This window comes from Homo sapiens, chromosome 17, assembly GCF_000001405.40.
Source record: "Homo sapiens chromosome 17, GRCh38.p14 Primary Assembly".
NCBI lineage: Eukaryota > Metazoa > Chordata > Mammalia > Primates > Hominidae > Homo > Homo sapiens.
In genome coordinates, this window is record NC_000017.11 from 66,756,827 (window position 1) to 66,783,916 (window position 27,090).

General features: G+C 44.7%; 1 protein-coding gene across 6 annotated transcripts in view, besides 1 other annotated feature; it reads left to right on the forward strand.

The window, feature by feature from the left end:
- The window catches only part of PRKCA (protein kinase C alpha), a 508,131-nt gene that overhangs the window by 454,214 nt on the left and 26,827 nt on the right, over window positions 1-27,090 (forward strand). For all 6 annotated transcript variants that reach the window (XM_047436388.1, NM_002737.3, XM_017024836.3 and 3 more), the window contains one exon: window positions 17,161-17,241. In XM_047436388.1, the coding sequence (XP_047292344.1) occupies window positions 17,161-17,241 (81 nt within the window). The remainder of the gene's footprint in view (window positions 1-17,160; window positions 17,242-27,090) is intronic.
- Window positions 25,639-26,140: an enhancer, noted in NCBI's record as "H3K4me1 hESC enhancer chr17:64778583-64779084 (GRCh37/hg19 assembly coordinates)". NCBI's record gives its function as "activates a minimal SCP1, AML or CMV promoter by ChIP-STARR-seq in naive H9 embryonic stem cells {active_cell/tissue: H9 hESC(naive)}" and the evidence as "EXISTENCE:reporter gene assay evidence [ECO:0000049][PMID:30033119]".

Below are 27,090 nucleotides of genomic sequence, written 5' to 3' on the forward strand. Positions count from 1 at the left end.
AATTTTTTGTATTTTTAGTAGAGACAGGGTTTCACCATGTTGCCCAGGCTGGTCTTGAACTCCTGACCTCAAGTGTTCCGCCTGCCTCAGTCTCCCAGAGTGCTGGGATTACAGGCGTGAGCCACCGTGCCTGGCCATAACCAGGAATTTTTTTAAACTATGATTAATTTGCTAAGGGCTTTAGTGGAAAAAAGTAGACAGCATGCAAGAACAGATGGGCAGTGTTAAGCAGAGAGAAATTCCAAGAAAGAAAAGATGCTAGAGATCGGAAATACTGGAGCAGAAATGAAGAATGCCTTTGATGGGCTCATCTGTAGACTGGACACAGCTGAGTCTGGGGTGACTGAGCCTGAGGATATGGCAGTAAAAACTTCCAAAACGGAAAAGCAAAGACTGAAAAAAAAAAAAAAATGGAACAGACTATCCAAGAACTGTGGGACAGCTACAAAAGATATATGCCCTGGGAACACTGGAAGGAGACGTAAGAGAGAAAGAAACAAGGAATGTTTGAAGCAATTGGGACAGAGAATGTCCCCTGAATTAATGTCAGACACCAAATCACAGATCCAGGAAGCTCAAATGACACAAAGTAGGACAAATGCTCAAACAAAACAAAAAGCTAGGCATATCATATTCAAACTGCAGAAAATCAAAGAATTCTGAGGGAAGCCCAGAGCGGGGAAAGCAACACGTTACCTAAAGAAGGGCAAAGACAGTAGAGTGAAATATTTAAAGCTTTGGGAGGAAAAAAAAAAAAAAAAAAACGAACCTAGAATTGTGTACCCTGCAAAATTGTCCTTCAAAAGGGAAGGAGAAATAAAGACTTTCTCAGACAAAAACAAAGGAAATGTGTTGCCAGTAGACCAGCCTGGCAAGAAATGTTAAAAGAATTTTTTTTGTTTTTTGGGTTTTTCTTGAGATGTAGTCTTGCTCTGTCCCCCAGGCTGGAGTGCAGTGGCGCCATCTCGGCTCACTGCAAGCTCCGCCTCCCAGGTTCATACCATTCTCCTGCCTCAGCCTCTCGAGTAGCTGGGACTACAGGTGCCCACCACCATGCCTGGCTAATGTTTTTGTATTTTTAGTAAAGACAGGGTTTCACTGTGTTAGCCAGGATGGTCTCGATCTCCTGACCTCGTGATCCACCCGCATCAGCCTTCCAAAGTGCTGGGATTACAGGCGTGAGCCACTGCGCCCGGCCAAAAGAAGTTCTTTAGAGAGAAGGAAAGTGACATAGGTCAGAAACTTGGATCTCCATGGGGCAAGGAAGGGCAGGCTTTGCAGATGCTGCCACCACCCATAGCCCCCTGCACCAGCCGTGGGCAGCCCCACTGTGTTCTTCAACATGAGGCCGCATCTCTTTCAAGCTGTTTGCAGACTACATTCCAAAAACAGCAGAAAATTTTTGTGCTCTGAGCACTGGAGAGAAATGATTTGGTTATAAGGGCTCTTTGCTTTCACAGAATCATGCCAGGGTTTGTGTGTCAGAGTGGTTACTTCACACACCATCAAATTTCCAAGAAAATTTACTGGTATCAAGAAAGAAATTTGATCTACGGGAAGAAATTTGATGGTGAGCACTTCATCCTGAAGCATACAGGTCCTGGCATCTTGTCCATGGCAAATGTTAGACACAATACAGATGGTCCCCAGTTTCTCATCTGCACTGCCAAGGCTGAGTGGTTGAATGGCAGAGTGGCATGCATGTGGTCTTTGGCAAGGTGAAGAGAATATCGTGGAAACCATGGAGCACTTTGGGTCCAAGAATGCCAAGGCCAGCAAGAAGCTCATCATTGCTGACTGTGGACGACTCTTAATAAATTTGACTCATGTTCTATCTTAACCACCAGACATTCCTTCCTTAGCTCAGGAGAGCACCCCTCCACCCCATTCGCTCGCAGTAGCCTCTCATCTTTGTGCTCTTGCTGCAGTTCCTTGGGTTCCATATTTTCCTTATTCCCTTCCATGCCTAGCTGAATTGCAGAGTTAAGTTTATGATTATGAAATAAAAACTAACAAGAGCATCAGAGAAGGTATAGGTGAAAGTAAAATACTTTTAGTATTCTTGATCTAACATGAGTTTTTTTCAAAATAATAACATATTCTAGTGTGTGTGCATATCCTATGTATAAGTGAAATGAACGAGAGCAGTGATAGAAGGGATAAGAGGGAAGAATTAGGATTATTTTGTTATCATAGCTACTTTCACTATGCATGAAGTGTTACAGTGTTATTTGAAAGTAGACTTGGGCTGGGCGTGGTGGCTCATGCCTGTAATCCTAGCACTTTGGGAGGCCGAGGCGGGCGGATTACAAGGTCAGGAGATTGAGACCATCCTGGCTAACAAGGTGAAACCCCATCTCTAATAAAAATACAAAAAAAATTAGCCGGGCGTGGTGGCGGGCACCTGTAGTCCCAGGTACTCGGGAGGCTGAGGCAGGAGAATGGCGTGAACCCGGGAGGCAGAGCTTGCAGTGAGCCAAGATGGCGCCACTGCACTCCAGCCTGGGTGACAGAGCGAGACTCCGTCTCAAAAAAAAAAAAAGAAAGTAGACTTGGTTTCGTTGTAAATATATATTGCATATTCTAGGGCAACCACTAAGAAAAGGAAAAAAGGAAGTCACTGATATGCTAAGAAAAGAAACAATGGAATCATATGAAATGCTCAGCTAAACCCGCAAGAGGCAGAAAAAGAGTGGGAGACAAAAAAAAAAAAATGGACAAGGGCCACAAATAGAAGACAATAACAAATATAGCAGTGATTAATCCAGTTATATCACAAATAACTTTCAAAGTCATTGGTCTAAATGCAGCAATTAGAAGATTGCCAGACTAGATCAAAAAACAAGACTTAACTCTATGCAAGAAATCCACTTTAAGTATAAAGACATGTAGATTAAAAGTAAGTGGATATAAAAGATATATCATGCTAATACTAATCAAAGAAATTAGGAGTCACTATATTAATTGCAGCTAGAGCAGACCTCAGAGCAAGGAGAGTTATCATGGAAGGGCATTACATAATGATAAAGGGGTCAAGTCTCCAAGAAAACATAGCAGTTGTTAATGTGTGCGTCTGACAGCAGAGCATTGAAATACATACGGCCAAACATGATAGAACTGCAGGTAGAAATACATGAATCCACTATTTTATTTGAAGGCTTCAGTGCCCCTCTATCAGAAATAGACATATCCCGCAAGGAGAGAATCAGTAGGGACGGAGTTGAACTCAGCAATACTGTCCTGTAGACTCTACTTCATCCAACAACAGCAGAATAACATACATTCTTCACAAGCTCACATAGAACATTCACCAATATAGACCACATTCTGTGCTGTAAAACACACCTTAACAAACTGAAAATAATAGAAACCATGCAGTGTCTTCTCTCAGACCACAATAGACCTAAACTAAAAATCAATAACAAAGATAGCTAGAAAATTCCAAAATACTTGAAGATTAAAGAACCCTTCTAAATAGTGTGGGTCTAAGAAGAAATCTAAAAGGAAATTTTAAAATATTGTTAAATAAATGAAAACGTAGATACGACTTATCAAATGTTATACGGTGCAATTAAAGCAGGGCTTAGGAAACTTATAGTATTGAATTCATATATTAGAAAAGAAGAAAGATCTAAAATCAACCACCTAAGCTTCCATCTTAGGAAGCTAGAGAAAGAAGAGCAAATTAAATCCACAGTCAGCAAAAGAAAATAAAAACTAGAGCAGAAGCCAATGAAATAGAAAATAGAAAACAGGGAAAGTCAACAAACCCAAAAGGAAGTTCTTTGAAAACATCAATAAAATTGATAAGCCTCAAGTCAAATTAAGAAAAAGAGAGAGCACAAGTTACTAATAAATGAAAGAGGACATCACTACAGATCCCATGGATGTTAAAGGATGATAAACAAACACCAGCATGGAAAACTACAGACTAATACCTCTCATGAACATAGATGCAAAAATCCTCAACAAAATATTAGCAAGTTGAATCCAACATGTATAGTAGGAATTAGCTTCTGTTTGCAGCCAGTATAAACAATTGCAAACACTGCTTTCATTTGATCCTCTTCTGACCTTTTTTGGGAGGGGTACTTAGGCTGTTCTGCTGTTTGCTTCCCATTCTTACAGGGAGGTAAAAAAGGGTGGCTACTCTAAATAGATTTTAAAGCACTTTCATTGGTGTAATTACTATTAGAGAGATCATTTTCTGTTTTCTCCAATTGTACATAGAGCCACAATTTTTGTCTAAATAGAAAATACATAGGCTGGGCGCAGTGGCTCACACCTGTAATCCCAACACTTTGGGAGGCCGAGGTGGGCGGATCACAAGGTCAGGAGATTGAGACCATCCTGGCCAACATGGTGAAACTCAGTCTCTACTAAAAATACAAAAATTAGCCGGGTGTGGTGGCGTGTGCCTGTGGTCCTAGCTACTCAGGAGCCTGAGGCAGGAGAATCACTTGAACTCGGGAGGCAGAGGTTGCAGTGAGCCAAGATCACGCCACTGCACTCCAGCCTGGTGACAGAGCAAGACTCCGTCTCAAAAAAAAAAAAAGATACATAGTTTGGACTCTAGACTCTTTGTTTTTAATCTTGTGGTAATTTTCTTTATTTTTCTTTACTTATTTATTTGGCGGTGGTTGTTGTTGAGATGGAGTCTCGCTCTGTTGCCCAGGCTAAAGTGCAGTGGCACGATCTTGGCTCACTGCAACCTCTACCTCCCAGGTTCAAGCAATTCTCATGCCCCAGCCTCCCGAGCAGCTGGGATTACAGGCACTTACCACCACACCCGGCTAATTTTTGGACAGGCTGGTCTTGAACTCCTGACCTCAAGTAATCTGCCCACCTCGGCCTCCCAAAGTGCTGGGATTACAAATGTGAGCCACTGTGCCCGGCCAGTTTTCTTTTTTTTTTATATAATGCACTTTGTCCAAGGATTTCAAATATTGTAGTCATTTCCCATGTGACATAGTAAGATCCTTGATCTTGGATATCGTATCTTAGCGTATTTGTCTGTTATCCCAGTTAGTTTGGTAATCTGTGATACCTAGCAGAGTGCCCAACCCATAGAAATGTACAGTCAGCCATACTCAGTGGGAGTGAGCAAAGGAGAGGGCCAAGGAGGGTGTCCTAATACCATAAGAAAACAGAGAAGCCTGAAGTTTTGCTGCTCCAGTAAAAAATCAATTTAATTGCCTAAGGGGAGATTTTTAAAAATCTGTTTGATTCACTTCTGTAACTGATTCACTTCTGATTTACTATGTCTGGTACACAGTAAATTAATATTTGCTGAAAGAACGAATGGAAGGTTTATTGTCGCTTAAGAATTTTCAGGTGCCAACAATCATTTGAGTGTTTAACATATACCAAAATGTTTCCTCTGTCCCCCTCTGAGCCAAGTTTAGTTTATTTCCTTGAATAACTTTCACCCACCTGCTTATTTCTGGTAGGCCAGTTCTTATTTCTAATGTTAGGCAGTATGGAGTTATGTATACTCAGCTGCAGTAAGCACATTTTAATACACATAATGCCATTTAATCCCCACCACCTGCTTGTCAGGTGGGTGCTGAAATCCCAAGATCACAGCTGAGGAAATGGAGGCTCAGAGAGGCTAACCAACTTGCCCAAAGTCACACAGCTCCTGGCCTCCAGCAGTTGGGTTCGGAGCTCTCTCACCTCATTCTGCTTCCCGCTTGTATTCTGAGCTTTGGCTATGCCATTGGAAAGGAGTTTAATTAGGAAGTATCTCGATTGAGAGCTGGGGGTGTTTCACTTCTCCCCTGCTGCGGGGCTTTCTGTTTATGACGCTCTGGTCTCTGTTCTGATGCTTTAGAAAGAGGACACGGTCAGGAGACCTGAGGCCTCTCTCTTCCTGACCTTGCTGTTAACCAGCCCAATGACCTCAGCAAGCCACTGTGCCACTTTGAGCCTCAGGAGCCTCTTCAGAACCCTGAAAACACCTTTTTTATTTTATTTTAATTTGTTTTAGACGGAGTCTCACTCTCTTACCCAGGCCGGAGTGCAGTGCATCATGGCTCCCTGCAACCTCTACCTCCCGGGTTCAAGCGATTCTCCTGCCTCAGCCTCCCAAGTAGCTGGAATCACAGGCATGTGCCACCACGTCCAGCTGATTTTTGTATTTTTAGTAGAGACAGAGTTTCACCATGTTGGCCAGGCTGGTCTTGAACTCCTGACCTCAAGTGATCCTATCGCCTTGGCCTCCCAAAGTGCTGGGATTACAGGCATGAGCCACTGTGCCCAGCTTGAAAACATTTTTCTAAATCATCCCTCCAGACTTAGCAATCCAGCAATTCTAACAGCCCTTTTGATTTTGCACTTTAGAGGTAGGCAGTGTCTATGGAGTGGTCTTGGATCAGATCCACTACTTCTCCAACACAACCTTGTGTCTGCCCCGTGCCTGAGGTCCTGGTGCTGGGTACAGAAGTGGATGGCCCAGCCCCAACCAGGGAGAAGTCTGGGTTGAGTAGGGGCAGACAGTCTCAGTAGACATGACAAAGGCTCCAGGAGTTGTGGGTCCCACAGTAGCAAGTGGAGGAGACAGTTATCAAACCCAAGATCCCAGCTGTCAGATCAGAACACCCAGAAAACGTTCAGGCCTGTCTTCTTTCTTTCCAAATGGTGCTGTTTGGACGCGTCAGACAGTGCTTTGACCATGTTACATGTAAAGAGTGCCTCTGGGGTCCTGTGTTCTATCCTTGGGAATGGATGATGTTTTTCAAAACAAATGTAATTTTTCCATCAAAATGTTTTTGTTTTTTGAAAAAGAAAGGATATTCTTTGTTTCCCTGAAACAGTAAAAGGACTTGAGTGTGTTTTATGCATAAAGGCCACCGTTATTTTGTAATGACAGCTTGGGAAGAGGCTTTTGTGGCCAGGCCTTTTATTTAAGATTGGGCTCTAGGGGTTTGCTGTATACATACAGCACAAAAATGAAGAGTGAAATCCCAGTTCAAGTGCAGCCGAGAACAGGAGAGTGAATCTCCACACACGTACTTTATAGGTCCGTGGGTTCCTTCAAGAAAAAGCCTTTAGAGCCAAGAGCTCCTGAGTGAAGGAGGCATCTTGGCTGTTTTGATCCTGTTAAGCATTTGGGCCCCTTTTCAGCAGGACTCATGTAAACTGGGCGAGTACCCACCATAGCTGTCTAGGGAACCCCACTGGATCAAGGCCTTCAGTATAGAAAAAGGGTCAGAAGTATGGATGCCAAAGCCGATGACCAGGGTTCTAATCCAAGCGTTGCTGCTTGCAAGCTCTGTAACATTGGACAAGCTACTGTGTCTCTCTGTACCTTATTTCCTCACCTTTGCAATGGGCCTTATGAGGATTAGGTGAGCTTCAGAGCTAAAGAGCCTGGCTCTCGGCACATGCCTACTGTGGTGATGTTGGTTACAGCTACTGTCAATATTGCCAGTGGCATCTAAAACCTTCCTGTGCCGTCCTCAAGCTCTCCCAGGCTGGAGATTTCAGAAGTTAGAAAGCTCCTGGAGTCCCATCCTCTCTGGGAGGCATTTGAATGTGAAGCCCTGGTAGAGAGTGGAAGGCTGGGTGGCCTTGGAGTGACATCCTTCCAGCTGCTGCAGGCCCTTGGCCTTGTACAAGACAAGAAGCTACCCCCTGGTCCCTTTCATGCCCTGGTCCTGTGCCCGGGCTGGAAGAAAGCTCATTCATATCTCACTTTTACAAGACAGGCAGCCATTTGTAACATCCTGACATTCCCCCAAGCAGTTGGCTCTTGTAAGTATAATAATAATGATCTAAATGACAAATAGCAGTAAAATTGAATGACAGTGGCCTTGTTGGGGGTCTGTCTTTGAAGCCACAGCTCAACCTCCCATGTGCAGCAGGGAAATCCGCCAGCTCTAGCCCTTCTTGCCAACTCTGCCTCTCCTTTTGTGAGTTTCTCCATTATGGGAAACCAGATTGGCGTCACAGCCCCTTGCCTGGGGCTTCAGGATATCAGGCAGCCCTGGGCTTGGCTGTAAGCCCACATTGGCCCACAAGTGCCAGAGACACCTGCTCCTATCCCCATAGGGGACAGACAAGAGAGTCTCCTCATCCATTCCATGGTCTCTGAGCCTGGTCCTCAGCCCAAAGCTGGCTCCCTAGACCAATGAGAGCCAGAGAACCAGAATGGGCCATAGGAGCCGGTGGAATTCAGAGGGTCTCAGCCAGCACTGTCCAACAAAAGTAAAATACAAGCCGAAACTGCGTTTAGCAGCCAAGTTTTTAACAAGTTGGAAAGGAAACAGATGAAGTTAATTTATTAATAAAAACATTTAATGAAGGCCAGGCATGGTGGCTCACGCCTGTAATCCCAGCGCTTTGGGAGGCCGAGGCAGGCAGATCACCTGAGATCAGGAGTTCAAGACCATCCTGGCCAACATGGTGAAACCCCATCTCTACAAAAATATAAAAATTAGCCAGGCATAATGATGGGTGCCTATAATCCCAGCTACTCGGGAGACTGAGGCGGGAGAATCGCTTGAACCTGGGAGGCAGAGGTTGCAGTGAGCCGAGATCGTGTCATCGTGTCACTGCATTCCGGCCTGGTCGACAGAGCAAGACTTTGTCTATATATATATATATATATATATATATATATATATATCCATATATATACATATTTGTCCATATATATATATTTGTCTTTATATATATATGTCTTTATATTTGTCTTTATATATATATGTCTTTATATATATATGTCTTTATATATATATATATATGAGCTATTTTGCATTTTTTATACTAAGTCTTCAAAATATGATGTGGATTTCACACCTACAGCACATCTCAGTTTGGACTAGCCACATTTCATCTGCTCAGAAACCACAAGTGGCCAGTGGCCACTGTATTGGATAGTGGCTCTAGACAGCTGAATAGGGACAGTATAGCCAACATCCTAAGTCGTGTGTATCTGAATGTTTATCTTCCAGTGGGGCTCTCTAACACTATTTTCCCTTTTACAGTGAGGCTTTGGTTAACCAGAGGTATTTATTAACCACAACTGCTCATTGAGAGAAAGATATGCTTTATTCCAAAAATGAATTTGCAGCGGTGAGGTTGTGCCCTATACCTGTAACTGAGATCTTCAGGACCTCCCGTGTTATCTGGTACACAACAAGCCAAAGGTGACACGTTTCTCTGGGAAAAAATGCTCTGGCTAGATTCTAAACCCCATCCTATTGTTACAATTGAAGGCACTGCAGTGTTCAGAGTGACTTTGTAATCTTGGCCCAGTGGCTGAGCAGGCGGGCTCTATGCGGCTGATGAGGATGAGTGCTGTCACGAGAAAAACGAGCCTTGGCGCTTGGCATTCTGCTTTTGGTAAGCCTTGGAGGAAGGAGAGCGTGTTATCAGAAGGAGTCATGGGAATTTAATGCCTTGGAAATAGAAAATGAAGAGCCAGCTGGGAGCCAACTTGTTGTAGAACTTAAAGCAAAACCAATCAGGTGGCCATGGCCTTTAGGATTCATGAATCCTTCTGACCAGAAACAGGGCTCCCACACCCTTGCCTGTTGATGGCTTTCCAATTCGGACATCAGTTTCCATCACCCAAGCAGAGAGATGTGGTTGGCAAGACTGCTCAGATATTTGTAGAATATAGGATAGGAAACAAAGTATAACCTCCTTTGTTCAGCCCTCACTGATCCTTTACCTGATACACACAGCAACACTGTTGCTTCAGCCCTGCCACTGTTAAAAACAAACTCACTTTGGGAGGCCAAGGCAGGTGGATCACCTGAGGTCAGGAGTTCGAGACCAGTCTGGGCAACATGGCAAAACCCTGTCTCTACTAAAAATACAAAAATTAGCTGGGCATGGTGGTGGGAGTCTATAATTCCAGCTACTCAGGAGGCTGGGGCAGAAGAATTGCTTGAACCCGGGAGGCAGAGGTTGCAGTGAGCAGAGATTGCACCATTGCACTCCAGCCTGGGTAACAAAAGCGAAACTCCTTCTCAAAAAAAAAAAAAAAAAAATTTAATGAAACACCAAGTAACATAACATACACAGATGGTGGGGACTGGCTTTAACCAAGTTAAACATAGTTTAACATAGTTACAAGAGCAAATTTTATTCAAGTGCTTTTGAAATATAGTTACTTAAAACAACTGAAATGATGCTTTCCAATAAATCATCTTAATCCTCTGGGCCCTTTGATTAATATTTCATTAATCCCAGTATCAATGTATTTGAAAATACATTGAAAAGATAAAATTATATCTTTAAAATAAATGTGTCAGTATTCAGTTCCACATATTAATTGATTGGCTTTGAGCAAGTCTTTAAACTTAGAGAACCTATTTTCTCCCTATAAAATGAGAATATACAGTAAGACCTCACTTAACATTATCGATAGGTTCTTGGAAACTGTGACTTCAAGTGAAATGATGTATAACAAAACTAGGTTTTTCTCCCTCATCAGCATTATAAGGAAATGATGTTATTTGAGGACCTGCTGTATGTTGTTTTGCTTAAAATCACAGTTTCCAAGAACTTACTGCTGGTACGGAGTGAAGACGGACTGTAATAACAACTCTGCATCATCAGATTACACAAGATGTGTGTAGTGGGTACAACCTGCATTTGGTGCCCAGAAGGTGGATTTTCACTCACCCAAAGAGAATTTCTGTTGCCCTTCTACTTGGTCAGGACAGGATTTGTAGAAAAGCTGAGATTGTGTGATTCACTTACATGAAGGAGGAAGTTTTTAGAATGGACAACTCTTGCTGCCACAGCAATCCCTGAAATCTCAGTGGCTTAACACAACCAATATTTCCTTACTGCTCACACACAGTCTGATGCAAATCAGGCAACCCTCCTCCATCTTGCAACTGAGCCATCTGGAACAGGTGGCCCCTAGAATCACAGTGACAGGAGGCAAATGGGCTTTTAATTGCCTCAACCCAAAAGGGCAACATCACTTCCTCTCCCTGTCCATTGGCCAGAACTAGTCATGTGGCTCCAAAGCAGAGGAGATTATGAAATGTAGGGGAGCACATGGGCTGTTTGGGGAATACTATCTGATGCTGAAGGTTTGCTCCTATCATTCTAATTTATTCTCTGATATGGCAATATGATAGCCTATTAAGCGTCTTCCCACTGACTTGTTTTGTTTTGTTTTGAGATGAAGTCTTACTCTGTTGCCCAGTCTAGAGTACAGTGGCACAATCTCAGCTCGCTGTAAACTCTGCCTCCCATTTTCCTGCCTCAGCCTCCTGAGTAGCTGGGATTACAGGTGTGTGCCACCGGACCCAGCTAATTTTTGTATTTTTAGTAGAGACAGAGTTTCACCATGTTGGCCACTCCGGTCCCAAACTCCTGACCTCAAGTGATCCGCCCGCCTGGGCCGCCCAAAGTGCTGGGATTACAAGCGTGAGCCACCATGCCCAGCCATTTTTTTTTTTTTTTTTGGGGGGGAGAGATTAGGGTCTTGCTATGTTGCCCAAGCTGGTCTCCAATTCCTGGACTCAAGTGATCCTCTTGCCTCGGCCTCCCGAGCTACTGGGATTACAGGCATGAGCCACTGTGCCTTTCCCCTATTCATTTTTAAGTTTGCTTTCTGGGGTAGGTTTATCTTTATCATTAACCTAGGTTTTACACCACTGGAATTGAAGTGAAATTATCCCCCCACTGCAATTAGTCCATTTTCACACTGCTATAAAGAACTACCTGATACTGGGTAATTTCCGAAGTAAAGAAGCTTAACAAGAAGCATGACTAGGAGGTCTCAGGAAACTTACAATCATGGCGGAAGGCAGAGGGGAAGTAAGCATGTCTTACCATGGCGGAGCAGGGGAGAGAGAGAGAGACAACAAGGCGGGAAGCGCCAAACACTTTTAAACCATCAGATCTTGTGAGAATTCACTCACTATCATGGAGAACAGCAAGGGGAAATCCGCCCCCATGAGCCAATCACCTCCCTCCAGGACCTTCCCCCAACAGGTGGGGATTGCAATTTGAGATGAGATTTGGGTGGGGACACGATATGGTTTATGGACACAAACCATATTGGGAGGTAAGTAGTGGCTTTCAGGAGTTGGCCGAGCAGTTTTAATGGATTTTTTTCCTTTGCTTAAGGGTGTAGGTTAAGTGTACTAAGCATGTGCTAAGTGGAGAATGGATAAGCAGACTTGATACTGCCACTATTCTCAAGGAAATGGCTTTGTTTTTGTTAGTTTGAAATGAGAATCCAGTGTATAAATCAGCTCTTGATCTTTTAGACTGACGGGCTGTGGAAGGGACAACTCATTTCAGTTAAAATAGGCATTTCCAGGCTGGGCATAGTGGCTGATACCTGTAATCCCAACACACCTATGCAACAAAGCAAAATCCTGTCTCTAAAAAAATTGTTAAAAAATTATCTGGGTGTGGTGGTGCATGCCTGTGGTCCCAGCTACTTAGGAGGCTGGGTGGGAGGATTGCTTGAGCCCAGGAGTTGAGGCTGCATTGAGCTATGATTATGCCACTGCCTTCCAGCCTGGGCAGCAGAGCAAGACACTGTCTCAAAAAAAAAAAAAAATAGTATTGCCAAATAGCCAGTATGAATCAGATCTTAATTTTCCTGTGTTTAATACTTTGCTTTGGATTGAACTGTTAGAGAAGTACTTCAGTAGCTAGCTGCTGAGTTACAAATATGTTGATTTTTTTCCTATGCATTTATCCTTTAACATTCTAGTCCCCCAGGACCATCTTGAGAACAGTGTGGCCTGCTGCACAAGCTTTTCTCCCTTGCAAATTTTGTTGGGGAAAGCCACATTTCCCACCTAGCATCACAGAGTGTGTTTTTCTTTAATTTTATAATTTGCAGCTCTACAAAGACTGTGTTGATAGGAGCAAGGTGTGTGAGACAATAATTATGTTTGTGGAACCTTGTCACATTTTCTTAGACTATTATTTTAGAGAACAGCCCTAAGCCAAGACATTGGGTCTTGTGATCCTTTTCAAAGAAAATCGTTGGGCTCGTTAATCCTTTGATTCAAGTCTTTTTTAAAATGATATTTTCCATTTTGACTAATTGAAGATTTCCCACTAAGATAAATGGAAGAGACTTATCATTTGATCAAAATTATAGCAGTGCTTGATGTTTGCCTACTACCCTACAGTTTTCAAACAAAATCCATTTACATTCACTCATTTAATTATCCCCCTGGTTTTTCTGGATAAGCAGAGTTTCCCATGGGTGGAATGCTTCCATTCTTGGGAATACTTTATATTTCCTCTCAGATTTATACATTTCTAGTTGGCACAGCTTCTGCCGTTCAGATGCAGGAAATAGAGAATGCCACTAGAGAAACAGATGGAAAGACAAGAAGCAGATCCAAGTATGTGTAAGTTCATTTGTTCATTCATGCATCCAGTCACTTATCTATTTATTCATTATTCATTAAACAAAGTTATTAAATATACTATGGCAGTGTCTCCCATAGGAGGTAATATGATAGGATGTTTAAAAGTAGAATGCTGGAGTAGGAAATCTTCCATGTAAACATTTGTTCAGACACTTGCTAATTTTAAGTTTTTCACAATTTTTTAATCTAGGCAATTGGGAAATTATATAGTCAATCTGTCTTTATATGGTATAGCAGTTCTGTGTTTTCTGTTCTAACTTCAAAAAAACAAACGGAAACAGAATTGCCCAGTGATTACAATGGCACCAGCCTAGATCAGCCAGCATTTAGCTGACTCCCAGATGTGTAAGCACCCAGCCAAGATCAGCAATGCCCCCTGACTGGCCCCCTTTAAAGACTTAAACGTAGTCCTAAAATTAATATAGCACCTTCTTTCTGATCCAGGTAGAAGTACGTGTCTAAATGTTTCTAGCCCTATGGTAGTGTCTGCCACGGCAGCAGTAGCAATGGGAGCAGCTGTGTTAAGGAAGAGTGAGGGTTCCAACTTTTCTGCTGATCTGGGAAGTAGTGGATGTGGAGGGTTGCAGTGTCAGAGAAAAAGCAGCCAGTAGACCTAGGTCTCTTGGTGAAGGCGATGAGTTTGAGGAGTTCCTTGCCAAAGGCTGGGCTGGCTTAGATGAAGATGCACGTGTCTGGGAAGATAACTGGGATAATCTTAAGGCCAGAAGTTTGAGAATTTGGAAAACGGGCACTTGTTTACTGGTGGGAGTGAGCGTGCTACTGTTTTGAGTAACCTGGCAATGTGTCTTTTTTTTTTTTTTTGAGACAGCATCTCACTCTGTCGCCCAGGCTGGAGTGCAGTGGGGGCGATCTTGGCTCACTATACTCTGCCTCATGGGTTGAAGCAACTCTCCTGCCTCAGCCTCCCGAGTAGCTGGGATTACAGGCATGCACCACCACACCTGGCTACCTTTTTTGTATTTTTAGTAGAAACGGGGTTTCACCATGTTGGCCAGGCTGGCCTCAACCTCCTGACCTGAAGTAATCCACCCACCTCGGCTTCCCAAAGTTCTGGAATTACAGGCGTGAGCCACTGCCCCTGGCCAGCAATGTGTCTTAAAAAGTTTTACTTTTGAGTTAGAAGCATTTATTTTGACCCACCAATTCTATTGACAGGAATTTATTTTGCAGAAATAGTCAAAGGTCTTGCCAAGATACTCATGATATATTATTAAATAAACAAACTGACCACAAAATAGCAGGCTCACATAATTCAGTTTTTAATGCATATGTACACACATATCACACCTAGAAAAAAATATGGAAAGGTTTTATATGGAAATAACATTAATATTTCTGGATAGTGATCATAAACAATTTTACTTCCTTATTTCTTTTTTTTTATTTTTTTTGAGACGGAGTCTCGCTCTCTTGCCCAGGCTAGAGTGCAGTGGTATGCAGTCTTGGCTCATTGCAACCTCCACCTCCCGGGTTCAAGCGATTCTCCTACCTCAGCCTCCCAAGTAGCTGGGACTACAGGCAGGCATCACCATGCCCAGCTAATTTTTGTATTTATAGTAGAGACAGGGTTTTACCATGTTGTCCAGGATGGTCTCCATCTCTTGACCCTCATGATCCACCCGCCTTGGCCTCCCAAAGTGCTGGGATTACAGGCATGAGCCACCACGCCCGCCGCTTCCTTATTTCTTTAGCTTTTCATTTTCTTCCTAATTGTTCTTTAATGAGCATGCATGGCTTCTGGAATTTTTTTTAAAAGCACAAAAAGATTATTTTTAACAGAATGGTTTTACCTGGTAATGGAAAATATAATGACATTGGTATCAGGGAGATAAATTCAGTCCAGTCCTTTTGGGAGAGCAATTTACCATTGTATCAAAGGTTATAAAAATATGCAACTCCTTTGATGCAAAATTTTGTCTGGGAACTGGAATGAGATGTATCATCCCCGGGTAATAGACTGGAGACTCATTTCTTGGGGTTTCTTATGTGTGTATTTTCCAAGTTTTCAGAAAAGAATGTGCAGAACAAAGGTTGTAAAAGAAATTAGAGACTCCTTGTAGGTTCCTATGTTTATATCATTTTCTTGTCAAGGAAATGAGCTACAAAGGTGCCAGATCTAATCTTGTTTACCCTTGTTACTGCCCACACTTAAACTGTTGGTGCTTGTGTTTCTCATCCTACATGCAGAAATATTAGTAATACATTAAAGAAATGAAAGTGGGCAGACATGCAGAAAGTTTTATGTCCGAGGACATTTAATTAGACATTCTGGGCCATTAAAAAAAAAAAATCCCAGAACATTTCAAAGTAAAAGTTGTAAGCGAAATGGCAGAATGGTTATGCTGAGTACCTGTTAGTGTGTCTTGACCTTGAATCCTGGCATGTGATCCATGGGTCTGGGAATTGTGTGCAGCAGGTACACAGCGTACCTGAGAGGTAATGAAGCCAGTGTTTTAATAAGCCCTGCCATACTTAGAAATTCAAATCCATGTTACTCCCTTCCACGAAGGGAGGTTATAGAATTATTCTAGTACTTCTGATAGCCACAAAGGTAGAAGGAAGTGTAGAATGAGCTCCCTGTGGACCCATCACCAATTTCAACAGCTGCCAGCATTTGCCAACTCATTTCATTTATTTTTCTCCCACCTCATTTATTGAAGTGTTTTTTTTTAATTTAAGATATGTCAGTTCACCCATAAATACTTTATCTCTTTTCTATTTCACCCATAAATATACTCATTTCTAACTGATAAGCACACTTTAAAAATGTTTTAATAGTATTATTACTTTTTAAGAGACAGAGTCTTGCTACGTTGCCCAGGCTAGCCTCAAACTCCTGGGCTCAAGTGATCCTCCTGCCTCAGCCTCCCAAGTAGCTGGGACTCCAGACTCACACCACCACACCCAGCCAGAAAACATGTTTTCTAACTAGTCAACATACCATTATGCCACCTAACAAAATGAATGGTAAGTCCTCAGTATCATCTGACATCCAGATTGTATCTTAATTTTCCCAGTTGTTTCAAATTTTCTTTGTTGCAGTTGGCTCTAGATACTATATTTGCTTACTATATTTTATGTCTTTTAAAAAGTGTTTTAAAACTTCTGTTTTTCAATAGACTGAATGTATATCATTGCACTTCTCTGTGCAACACAAGAAAACTATAATGTTTCCTTATCATCATCCTTACTATTATACTCTTAGTAAAGCCCTGTTACATAGTTTGATCATCTTATATGTCAGACTCAAACTCTGAATGACCTCTGGCTTTTCCTTTTTTTTTTTTTTTTTTTAATTAAAAAAATTTTTTTTAATAGAGACAGGATCTTACTATGTCACCCAAGCTGGTTTCAAACTCCTGGACTCAAGCAATCTTCCTGCCTCAGCCTCCCAAAGTGCTGGGATTAGAGGTGTGAGCTGCTGCACCCGGCCTCTGGCTTTTTCTCAAAATTAAATCCACCTCAGTGTCCACATACTTTCTGCCAGGGAGGATAATTAAAACTACCTTCAGACAGTGCTGTGGCATCTCCAGGTGGATTCAGAACAAGATTCCCCAAACCAGCCGTGGGCAGTGAATCACGGGGTGATAGTTCTCCGTGTGTCTGATTTGAAGGGTCCTCTTCCCTTGGCGTAACATCAAAGACAGATCTTAGCACCTCATCTGCATGAACTGAGTGTATAAATGCCTACCTGCTTGACTTACCTGTTCTGACAGGGGCTATTGGACTTACCACTAATGTAATTGATGTGTTTGTTTTCACACAGATAATCGCTTATCAGCCGTATGGAAAATCTGTGGACTGGTGGGCCTATGGCGTCCTGTTGTATGAAATGCTTGCCGGGCAGGTAATGTTTTGCTACATTTTCATGTTTGTTTATTGCTGTGTTATGTGAATACTTCAGCTCTGGTTGGGCCTCGAGAGCAAGACCTGACGTTTTAGTGCAGCTGGTGTTGGCGTGACTTCCCTGACCCAGGCGAAAGAGGGAGAAACGCCCCCTTCAAAGTGGATCACGTTCAGTATGCACAGAAATTATCTCTGGTCATAGAAACTCCAAATTGAAAGCTACAACCTGGAGTGTAGACAGTGTCAGTTTCACGTTATGAAATGTACATGTTGGCCAGGCGCGGTGGCTCATGGCTATAATCCCAGCACTTTCAGAAGCCAAGGCAGGCGGATCGCCTGAGGTCAGGAGTTCGAGACCACCCTGGCCAACATGGCGAAACCCCATCTCTACTAAAAATACAAAAATTAGCCAGGCGTGGTGGTGCACATCTGTAAACTCAGCTACTTGAGCTACTGAGGCATGAGAATTGCTTAAGCCTGAGAGGCGGAGGCTGCAGTGAGCCAAGATCGTGCCACTGCACTGCAGCCTGGGCAACAGAGTGAGACGGTCTCAAAAAAGAAAAAAATGTGCACGTTGATGACAGCAGTGGCCTCTAAGTTTTCAGTATCTTAAAACTGGGGTTGGGTTATATGGTTCCCTGCAAGTTTGTCTGCAAAGATTGCCCCAGCTGCTGCCAATGTGTGTAATTAGTATTATTATTTAAGGAAGAAGACAGTTACCTTGAAGAAGTGTTTTAATAGTTTCTCCCCATCTCCTCCTATCTCACCCTTGGCAATTCGTTGTAATTTTCACTGAAGTCCAGTGAGGCTGAACATCCAGTTAAGGAAGGTAAATTAGCTTTCTCTTATGATGTGACATGTACCAGATAACCATGTGCCTTATTGCCTAACATGGCACTTTCTAATATAATGGCCTTAATATCTGTGTCATCAGGGTGAATCGTACTATCTGCCACTTCTAGGCCTGGCCCCTAAGACATCCTTTATGACTGTCCTCATGCTCTAGGCTGAAATTAGGAGGAATTAGTGGAGAAATCTGAGACCCTACAAGATGGTGGTGCTGATGGATGCGAGAAGCCTGAGTCTTTGAATGACCCTGTGGTCAGTGCCCACCCCCACATAGGACACTTCCGTGGCAAAGTCCCATGTGGGGGTGGGGCACTGACCCACAGGTTCATTCAAGGACACAGGTTTCTCCTGTCCGTCAGCCCTACTACCTTTTAGGGTCTCAGATTTCTCCGCTAATTCCTCCTCCTTTCAGCCGAGCACAGATCAGTTACATAGGATATCTTAGGGGCCGGCCTAGAAATGGCATGTATCACTTCTGCCTAGGTTCCACTGGCCACTTGGCCCCAGTGGGACACAAAGAGGCAGGAAGTATAGCATATCTGAGAGCTCAGCAGGGGAAGCAGGCTTGGTAATCACGAAGCAGGCTTGGTAATCACCCAGCAGATCTCTGCCTTATACTAAACATGATTCTGCCGTGGGCAGCTTTTTATAATTCCCAGCACTCACATGCTAGTGCCAAGACCTGTGACTCTCCATAGCCAGAAGCCTTAGTCAGAGACAATGGAAAGAGATGGCCATGCTGTGCGACAGAGCCACCCCCAAAGACATCTTTGTTTCTGGGGAAAAAGTCTTCCCTTCCCACATGTTACGTCCATTGACTCATTTATTCATTCACTCACCACGTATTTATTCACTGAATGCTTACAATGTGCATGGCCATAAGGATGAACAAAACAGACGAGAATCCTTAACTTCGTGAAGCTTACAGCTTAGAGGAGGAGAGACAGCAGACAGGTTAGATAAGGAAAATGTATAACACAGCAGAGGTAAGCTAGGAAGAAAAGTAATAAAGCAGGAAAGAAGATAGTGTTGGGGGAGGTTGAAATTGGCCAGAGAGGATAAGGTTAAGACCTAAAGGAAGTATGGGGTTGTCTGTGTGCATATCTGTTGAAAGGGCATTCCAGGCAGAGGGAGCCACCACGCGAAGGCCCTAAGGCCAGGGAATGTGCAGCCACGTTTAAGAAATGGAAGCTCCCAGCAGGGCTAGAGCAGAATTGAGCTAGAGAGGGAGGGAGTAGGAGGCCTGAGGCCAGAGAGGAAGAGGCTCTGGATCCTGTTGTTAGCAGTGGTGCATCCCCATGAGGCTGCAGCAACCTCAGTTCTTGCCTCCTCAGAAGAAAGAATTTGACTGTGGGGCATCAGGTAGAGTGAGAGCCTAAGACAAGCTGTTTCTGTTTTGTTTTGTTTTGTTTTTGAGATGGAGTTTTGCTCTGTTGCCCAGGCTGGAGTCGGTGGCGCGATCTCAGCTCACTGCACCCTCCGCCTCCCAGGTTCAAGCAATTTTCTGCCTCAGCCTCCTTAGTAGCTGGGATTACAGGCACCTGCCAACACGCTTGGCTAATTTTTGTATTTTTAGTAAAGACGGGGTTTCACCATCTTGGCCAGGCTGGTCCTGAGCTCCTGACCTCGTGATCCACCCGCCTCAGCCTCCCAAAGTGCTGGGATTACAGGCATGAGCCACTGCACCTGGCCTAAGACAAGTTTTAGAGAGGAATGAAAGTTCATGGAAAAGCTTTCAAGCAGGAGCAAAAGGAAGTAAAGTACACTTGGAAGAGGGCCAAGCCGGCGACTTGAGAGATCTAGTGCACTCTTTGACTTTTGACTTGGGGTTTTATGCATTGGTGTTCTTCCAGGGTCTTACATCTCTTCTCCCCTGATTCTTCCCTTGGGTTGGGCTGTCTGCGTGCGCAGTGGCCTGCTAGTGCTTGGGAGGGGCGGCATGTGCAGTGTGTTTACTGGAGTTACGTGTGTGCTCAGCTGAGGCATTCTTCCCTTACCAGTCAGATGTCCTAGAAGGTGGTGTACCAGTTAAACTCCGCCATGTTGCCTTTTCATGCGCGTGCTTGAGCCCACTCGCCCAACTCCTGAAATCTTATTGGGAAGCTGCTGCTCACCAGTTTCAGGTGTTTCCCTTTATTGGGAGACTGCCTTTCCTTGGTGCTGGCTGCGACCAATTATTATTTTACAGAGAGAGAGTTAACCACCTGATGGTCGCCTGACATTCCTGGTGGGTAGGGGGAGCCCTCTCCTGCCCTGCCCATGTCCGAACAGCCACCTGTTGTAACACTGTGACCATGAACGTCATCTCCAGATCAGCGGCTTTGCCTCTAGGATGGGAGGCTGTGGATGATCTCTCCTTTATGTGTCTTTCATTATATTTCCTAAATACTGAAATGGTCTTGTAGACATTGAAAGACATAAAGCTTTAGCCTGCATTTGATCATTATTTCTCAATGGTGTTAAGGCTTGACTGACATCAAAAGAGTGGTTTATTATTTATTTAGTTCCCCTCCCCCCACCCCAAATCAAAGCATTCCTCTTAGGCCAAATACGTCCGGGTGTAAACACAGAAAGGCAGTTCGTACACAGTCACCATCAGTGAGTCAATGGCTGGAGAAACAGGAGTTGTCTGCTCCTCAAGTTAATTTCCCCCTCTTTAAAATTTTTACAGTAAAATTCGGCTCTGAATTACAGGCCCCCTAAGAGTCCTGCTTTTCATGAAGTCACAAAAAGCCAAGTCCCCCTCTTGATCCCACTTGAATGTTCAGCTCTTGAGTCTGGAAAACAAACCCTGCTTTCATTAAGAGTCACATTTGCATATGCTAACATGCAAAAGGGGCTGGGCGGAAACGAAGCCAGGATCTGTTTCCGAGGGCGCTTTACAAGAGGTCACGTGAGTAGACTCTTGGCCAGCAGGAGACAAGAATTTCAGAACCCAGGTCTGCAGGAAAGTCCTCCTCCCTCCCGCAGCCTGGCTTCTCCCCTCTCCAAGCCTTCCTGGGATCTCATTCACTAGGGGAGAACTCAGGGAATGCTTTCTTCTGGCAGAGAAGTCCCCTTTGGGGGGTGCATTTTGAAGCTCTGCCACACTGGCCTCAGACCTCATTTGCAAATTGGCCTGAGGTGATTTACAGGCCTTATTTAAAGGTTTCCCTACTAAGCTCACGCCCCCTGGAGAGCACCAGGCTCCAGCTCTCAATAGTTCTGCAAACTTTCTGGCCTGTTTCCAATATTTCCCACACTGCTTCTCAGAGCCACTTAGCCTGCCTTATATGCATACTTTCAGGTCTCCATCATCTCTATTAAAAACGGTGATGGCTGGGCCCGGTGGCTCACACCTGTAATCCCAGCACTTCGGGAGGCCGAGGCGGGCGGATCACGAGGTCAGGAGATTGAGACCATCCTGGCTAACACAGTGAAACCCCATCTCTACTAAAAATGCAAAAAAAAATTAGCCGAGTGTGGTGGCGGGCGCCTGTAGTCCCAGCTACTCGGGAGGCTGAGGCAGGAGAATGGCGTGAACCCGGGAGGCGGAGCTTGCAGTGAGCCGAGATCGCGCCACTGCACTGCAGCCTGGGCGACAGAGCGAGACTCCATCTCAAAAAAATAAAAGAAAAAAAGAAAACGGTGATATTCTTTAAAGATGACACCTTAGACCAGGTGCAGTGGCTCATCCCTTTGGGGCCCTTGGGAGGCCAAGGTGGGTGGATCACTTGAGTCCAGGAGTTCGAGACCAGGGCAACATGACAAAATCCCGTCTACAAAAGATGCAAAAATGAGCTGGGCGTGGTGGCAAGTGCCTGTCATCCCAGCTACGTAGGAGGCTGAGGTGGGAGGATTGATCGAGCCCGGGGGGTCAAGGCTAGCAGTGAGCTGTGATCATCACACCACTGCACTCCAGCCTGGGTGAGAGAGTGAGACCCTGTCTCCAAAAAAAAAAAAAAAAACAACAACTCCTTAAAGGCACTCCACATTCTGGTGCAATGGCAGGCACAGATAACAGCCTTTGTTCCTCTAAATCTCCACCTCACCCGCCTCAAACACAGTGTTTTCATTCAAATCCCCTTCTTCATCTTTCTCTCTGACTCCTCAATGCAAATTTAAATGTATTCCTAGGCTGTCACTCAGCTCAGAAAGGATAATGAAGGCTCTACCCAGTATTATCCACAGCCCCTCCAAGCTTCAGCAATCCCAGAGACCCAGCAAACGGAATAGATGTTGTTATTGAAAAGTAAGATTAATGATAAAGTCGTTGACAGGGTTTTGGTCTAAGTTTGTCCTCTTTAATCGCAGAGGGCTGAAGATGAGCAGGAAAAAAATAGTTTATTGCCATTTTCTTCTCATTTGCTTTATTTATTGTCAGCAGCCAAGGGGGCAGTTAAGAATAAACAGCCTCAGTCTTTATTCAGTTCCTGGACTGCTTGACAAATACAATCACTTTTGGGGCATAAATAGTGTTTACCCAGCACTCTAATGAGCACCTTGTGCCTGCAAGTGTTCTCGGTGATCGTCATAAAGGGACCAGCCCTCTCCTTATGCCCTTTTCTCCCTGGGTTATTTATGCTTTGATTTCACTCCTACTGAATCAGTAATCGCCACTTCATCTTAACTTCGGCCTGAATTGTCCAGGGGAGCATGCCTAGCCCCCAGCCCAGGTTTCCGTGATTTGCAAATAAGCGTGGCCTCCATGACCACTTCCTAGCTGAGATCACACCAGTGCAGTGAGGTGGCTCACAGCTGTGATTAGGAATCCTTTTTTGCAAAATGTGAACCATCACTCCTCATGTGTTGGTTTCCACAAATCACATATTGTTAAAGTGGGAAGGAGCGGGTGAGAGGGGATAGAACCCATTCAGAAAATGTTTACACCAACCCAAGACTTTTCAACAGGTAGCTTAGCCTGGAACATTGAGTCCAAATTTGTAGAAATTAAAAACCATGGGAATGGGGGAAAGAGGCGAGAGAAGGCATCCAAAATGGTAATGTACTAAAGCACCTGAGTGACACGTTACCCCCATGGTCCCCAGGCTAAGTGGCTGGCAGTACCAGAAAGGAAAAGGAATAGAATTAGTAACTTTTCACCGTTCCCTTGCCTTCAACGCCAGGGCCTGAGAGCGAGTGATTACCTGTCAGATGCTCCAGGGAGACTTGAGCCTAGAGAGACTTAACAAAGGCCGTAAATGTGTTCACATTTTTTTAGGCTGCAGGATGCCACACCTGGGACGTTATTATGGGGATGTGATTCAGAGAAGAAAACAATGATATGCACAGGTGTCTCTAGTAGCGTTAGTGATGAGGGTACATGCTGGAAGCAATTGTAAATGTGCCATGGAACAGTGGATCTGTCCTGATGACGCATCACCTCAATGGCATTCAACTCATGGGAACACTGGCAGCAACAAAGAAAATGTATTTGCAACAGTCGGTGAAAAACAAAAAAACTCCAAATTATGCATCATAATTTGAAAATAATATAAGAGGCTGGGTACGGTGGTTCACACCTATAGTCTCAGCACTTTGGGAGGCCCAGGTGGGTGGATCACGAGGTCAGGAGTTTGTAGACCAGCCTGGCCAAGATGGTGAAACCCCATCTCTACTAAAAATACAAAAATTAGTTGGGCGTGGTGGTGCACACCTGTAATCCCAGCTACTCAGGAGGCTGAGGTGGGAGAATCGCTTGAACCTGGGAGGCGGAAGGTTGCAGTGAGCCATGATCGCACCACTGCACTCTAGCCTGGGTGACAGGCAAGACTTAGTCTCAAAAAAAAGAGAAAATAATATAAGAAAGCATAAGAACCCACATAAAAATAAGCGCAATTTTTGTGTCCAGGTAAAGGGAATGGGGATGCTTTTTTCGTAGACTTCCCTTCCACACCATATTACATAATTTTCGTTTAAAATAGGGCTTCAGGCCAGGCGTGGTGACACACACCTGTAATCCCAGCACTTTGAGAGGCCAAGGCGGGCAGATCACTTGAGGTCAGGAGTTCAAGACCAGCCTGGTCAACATGGTGAAACTCCATCTCTAATAAAAATATAAAAAATTAGCCAGGCGTGGTGACGTGCACCTGTAATCCCAGCCACTCAGGAGGCTGAGGCAAGAGAATCACTTGAACCCAGGAGGCAGAGGCTTCAGTGAGCTGAGATCGCACCACTGCACTCCAGCGAGTGAGACTCCATCTCAAAAAAATAAAAAATATAAAAATAAAACACGGGCTCCAGGGAGCTTTTCTGAATGTGCTGGTCATTACTGCTATTCACCAGGTACTCCCAGTCTTCCTCCCTCCTGGCTCAGTAGGATTGTACTTCCTTTCTCATGTGTATTTGTGGGGTGTCAGGGAGCAACATATGACCAGCACCGGCCAATGAGATCAGAGGGGAGGTGTCCAGGGTGGGGCTGGAAGCGCAGGTACAAGACATGGCAGAGCTGCTGCTCCAGCCTTTGCTGCAGCAAGACTGTGATGGCAGCTGCTCCATCCCGGTGGGTCCCCGAATGCAACCAGCAGAGGCCTCTCTGACCCTCAACGTACAGGTAGCATAAGCAGGAAGTGAAACGGGTTGTCTTATGCTTTGGAGATGGTCTCGGTTGTTTGTTTCCACAGCAGGACCCAGCCTATCCTTACTGATACCGGAAGGCACAGTTAAGATACCAATAGTCTACATCTTGAAGTAAGCCAGTCACAGGGACGTGTATCGTATCACCCCACTTACATGAGATGCCTAGAGTAGTCAAATCATAGCAACAGAAAGTTGAATGGTGGCTGTCAGGGGCTGAGAGGACAGGAGAATGGGGAGTCTCTTTTGTGAGTGGAGTTTCAGTTGGGAAGATGAAAAAGTTCTGGAGATGGCCAGTGGTGATGGTTACGGAGAAACATGAACGTACTTAATGCCACAGTACAGTGCACTTAAAAGCGGTTAAGATGGTAAATTTTGTGAGAGAGAGAGAGAGAGAGATATATATATATATATATAGTGTGTGTGTGTGTGTGTGTGTGTGTGTGTGAGTGAGTGTGAGTGTGACAGAGTCTTGCTCTGTTGCCCAGGCTGGAGTGCAGTGGTGCAATCTCGGCTCACCGCAACCTCTGCCTCCCGGGTTCAAGCAATTCTCCTGCTTCAGCCTCCCAGGTAGCAGGGACTACAGGCGCACTCTACCATGTCCAGCTAATTTTTGTATTTTTAGTAGAGATGGGGTTTCACCATGTTGGCCAGGCTGGTCTCAAACTCTTGACCTTGTGATCTGCCCACCTCGGCCTCCCAAAGTGCTGGGATTATAGGTGTGAGCCACCACACCCAGCCTGTGTTATATATATTTTATCACAATTAAGAAAAAATAGTCTCTATCTTTGCAACAGAGGTTATATATATTTTATCACAATTAAAAAAAAAATAGTCTCTATCTTTGCAACAGAGGAAACAGACTAGGAAAAAGGATGCCTTTGATTTGATGGTATTCCAAAGCTGGGAGGAGGCACTTAACTACTCCTCTTCCCTATACCCAAGAACAGCCCCCTTTTACCTTCTTCAGGTTCATGCCACCTTCAACCAGCAGGAATTTGGGGAAGCAACACAGAAGCTGCATCGGCCAGCAGCTGGGAAGGAGGGAGGCAGCCTGATTCCCATCAATTCATTAGAGCTGGAAAACCATGCCAGGTCTCTAGCGCAGAGGCCAGTCGCTCTCTACGGGATGACTTGAAACATCTCAGGCCCCCAGGGCTGCCCCACCCCCTTCATTTTCAGAACTCATCACTGCATATTGTGCAGGCTGTGAATCAGCCTTCTAAAATTTACCCCAACACCCTTGCCCTCATTAGAGTCTTCTTTACATGCTGGGTGGGGCTGTAGCCGAGTACCCTCTGCCTCACTTCACCCCTACCAGGAGCAGTGTTGGATGTCACCCTTCACAGTGGGGCAGGCGGAATTGCTCATAATGGCTAAGAGCCCCAGGCTCCAAATTCAGGATGCCTGGGTTAGCACCTGTGTCCTGAGACTGATTTGCGGAGTGAGCAGTGCCACCCAAGCCGTCTGCACAGCACGTGACATGCAGAGAGAGGCTGAGAAATGAACGCCACTGTGGTCACTTTCGCTGCTCCTACCCTCATGCCCACGATGCTCCTGCCTTATTGGGTAACATAGACTCACAGCGGTGAAAAACGTGAGGAGCAGAGACATGTCCCCTCCCTGACATGTGGTGACAGAGAATCCCTAATCCTTGGGGCCACATCAAGGCTGGAATGCACAGGCTCTGTCACGGGTGTTTGGTCTTGTGGCTTTGTTACAGCTTGGGCATCTTATTCCACCAGGCAAGCCTAAGAGGCCTCTGAGAATCCTTCCAGCCCTAGACTAAGAATTCACATTGAGTTAAACAGCTTTGTTCACTGCAGGACTTCTCAGGGCCTGTACAATTTAAATGTTAAAGCAAATTGCCAGAGAGGGGTAGAGGATGCAAACTTGGACCCAGGAAGATGCTGTAGGATTAATGTTCTAAGGAATATTCTTTGGGGAGTGTCAGTATCCAGCCTTCAGTGGGGCCCAGAGAAGACTTGACAGTAAAAGTCCTCCTTTCATCTATAGAATCGAATCCCTGATACAGCCATTCACCTTCAGAAATGAGCATACGTGGGGACAGCTCACCTGGCAAAGCTGGTTCCCATGCCAGGAGACAATTAAGTAGGTGTGGTAGGCCAGTGCCCTGCACAGAATGTTCCCCAAACGATTCCTGGCCTTCCACATTTGAAGGTGGGGTGGCTGCAGCTGCATTGACCTAATCGTCTTCAAATGAGGAGAAGCTTCTCACTACCCTACTCAAGACAGATTTCTGGGGAAGCTCCACCTGTGTTCCTTAGAGAACGTTTCTCTTAGGCCTTTGGTTTGCATTGTCTGTGACTTGGCCCCTGCAGCGTTCCTGCAGCTAAGATTCAAGCACCTCCAGAGAGGCTGATTGAATCTTGCTGGCGCCTTTGTCACTGCCCAACAAGGTGCACCCCATTTAGCCCGCTTCGGG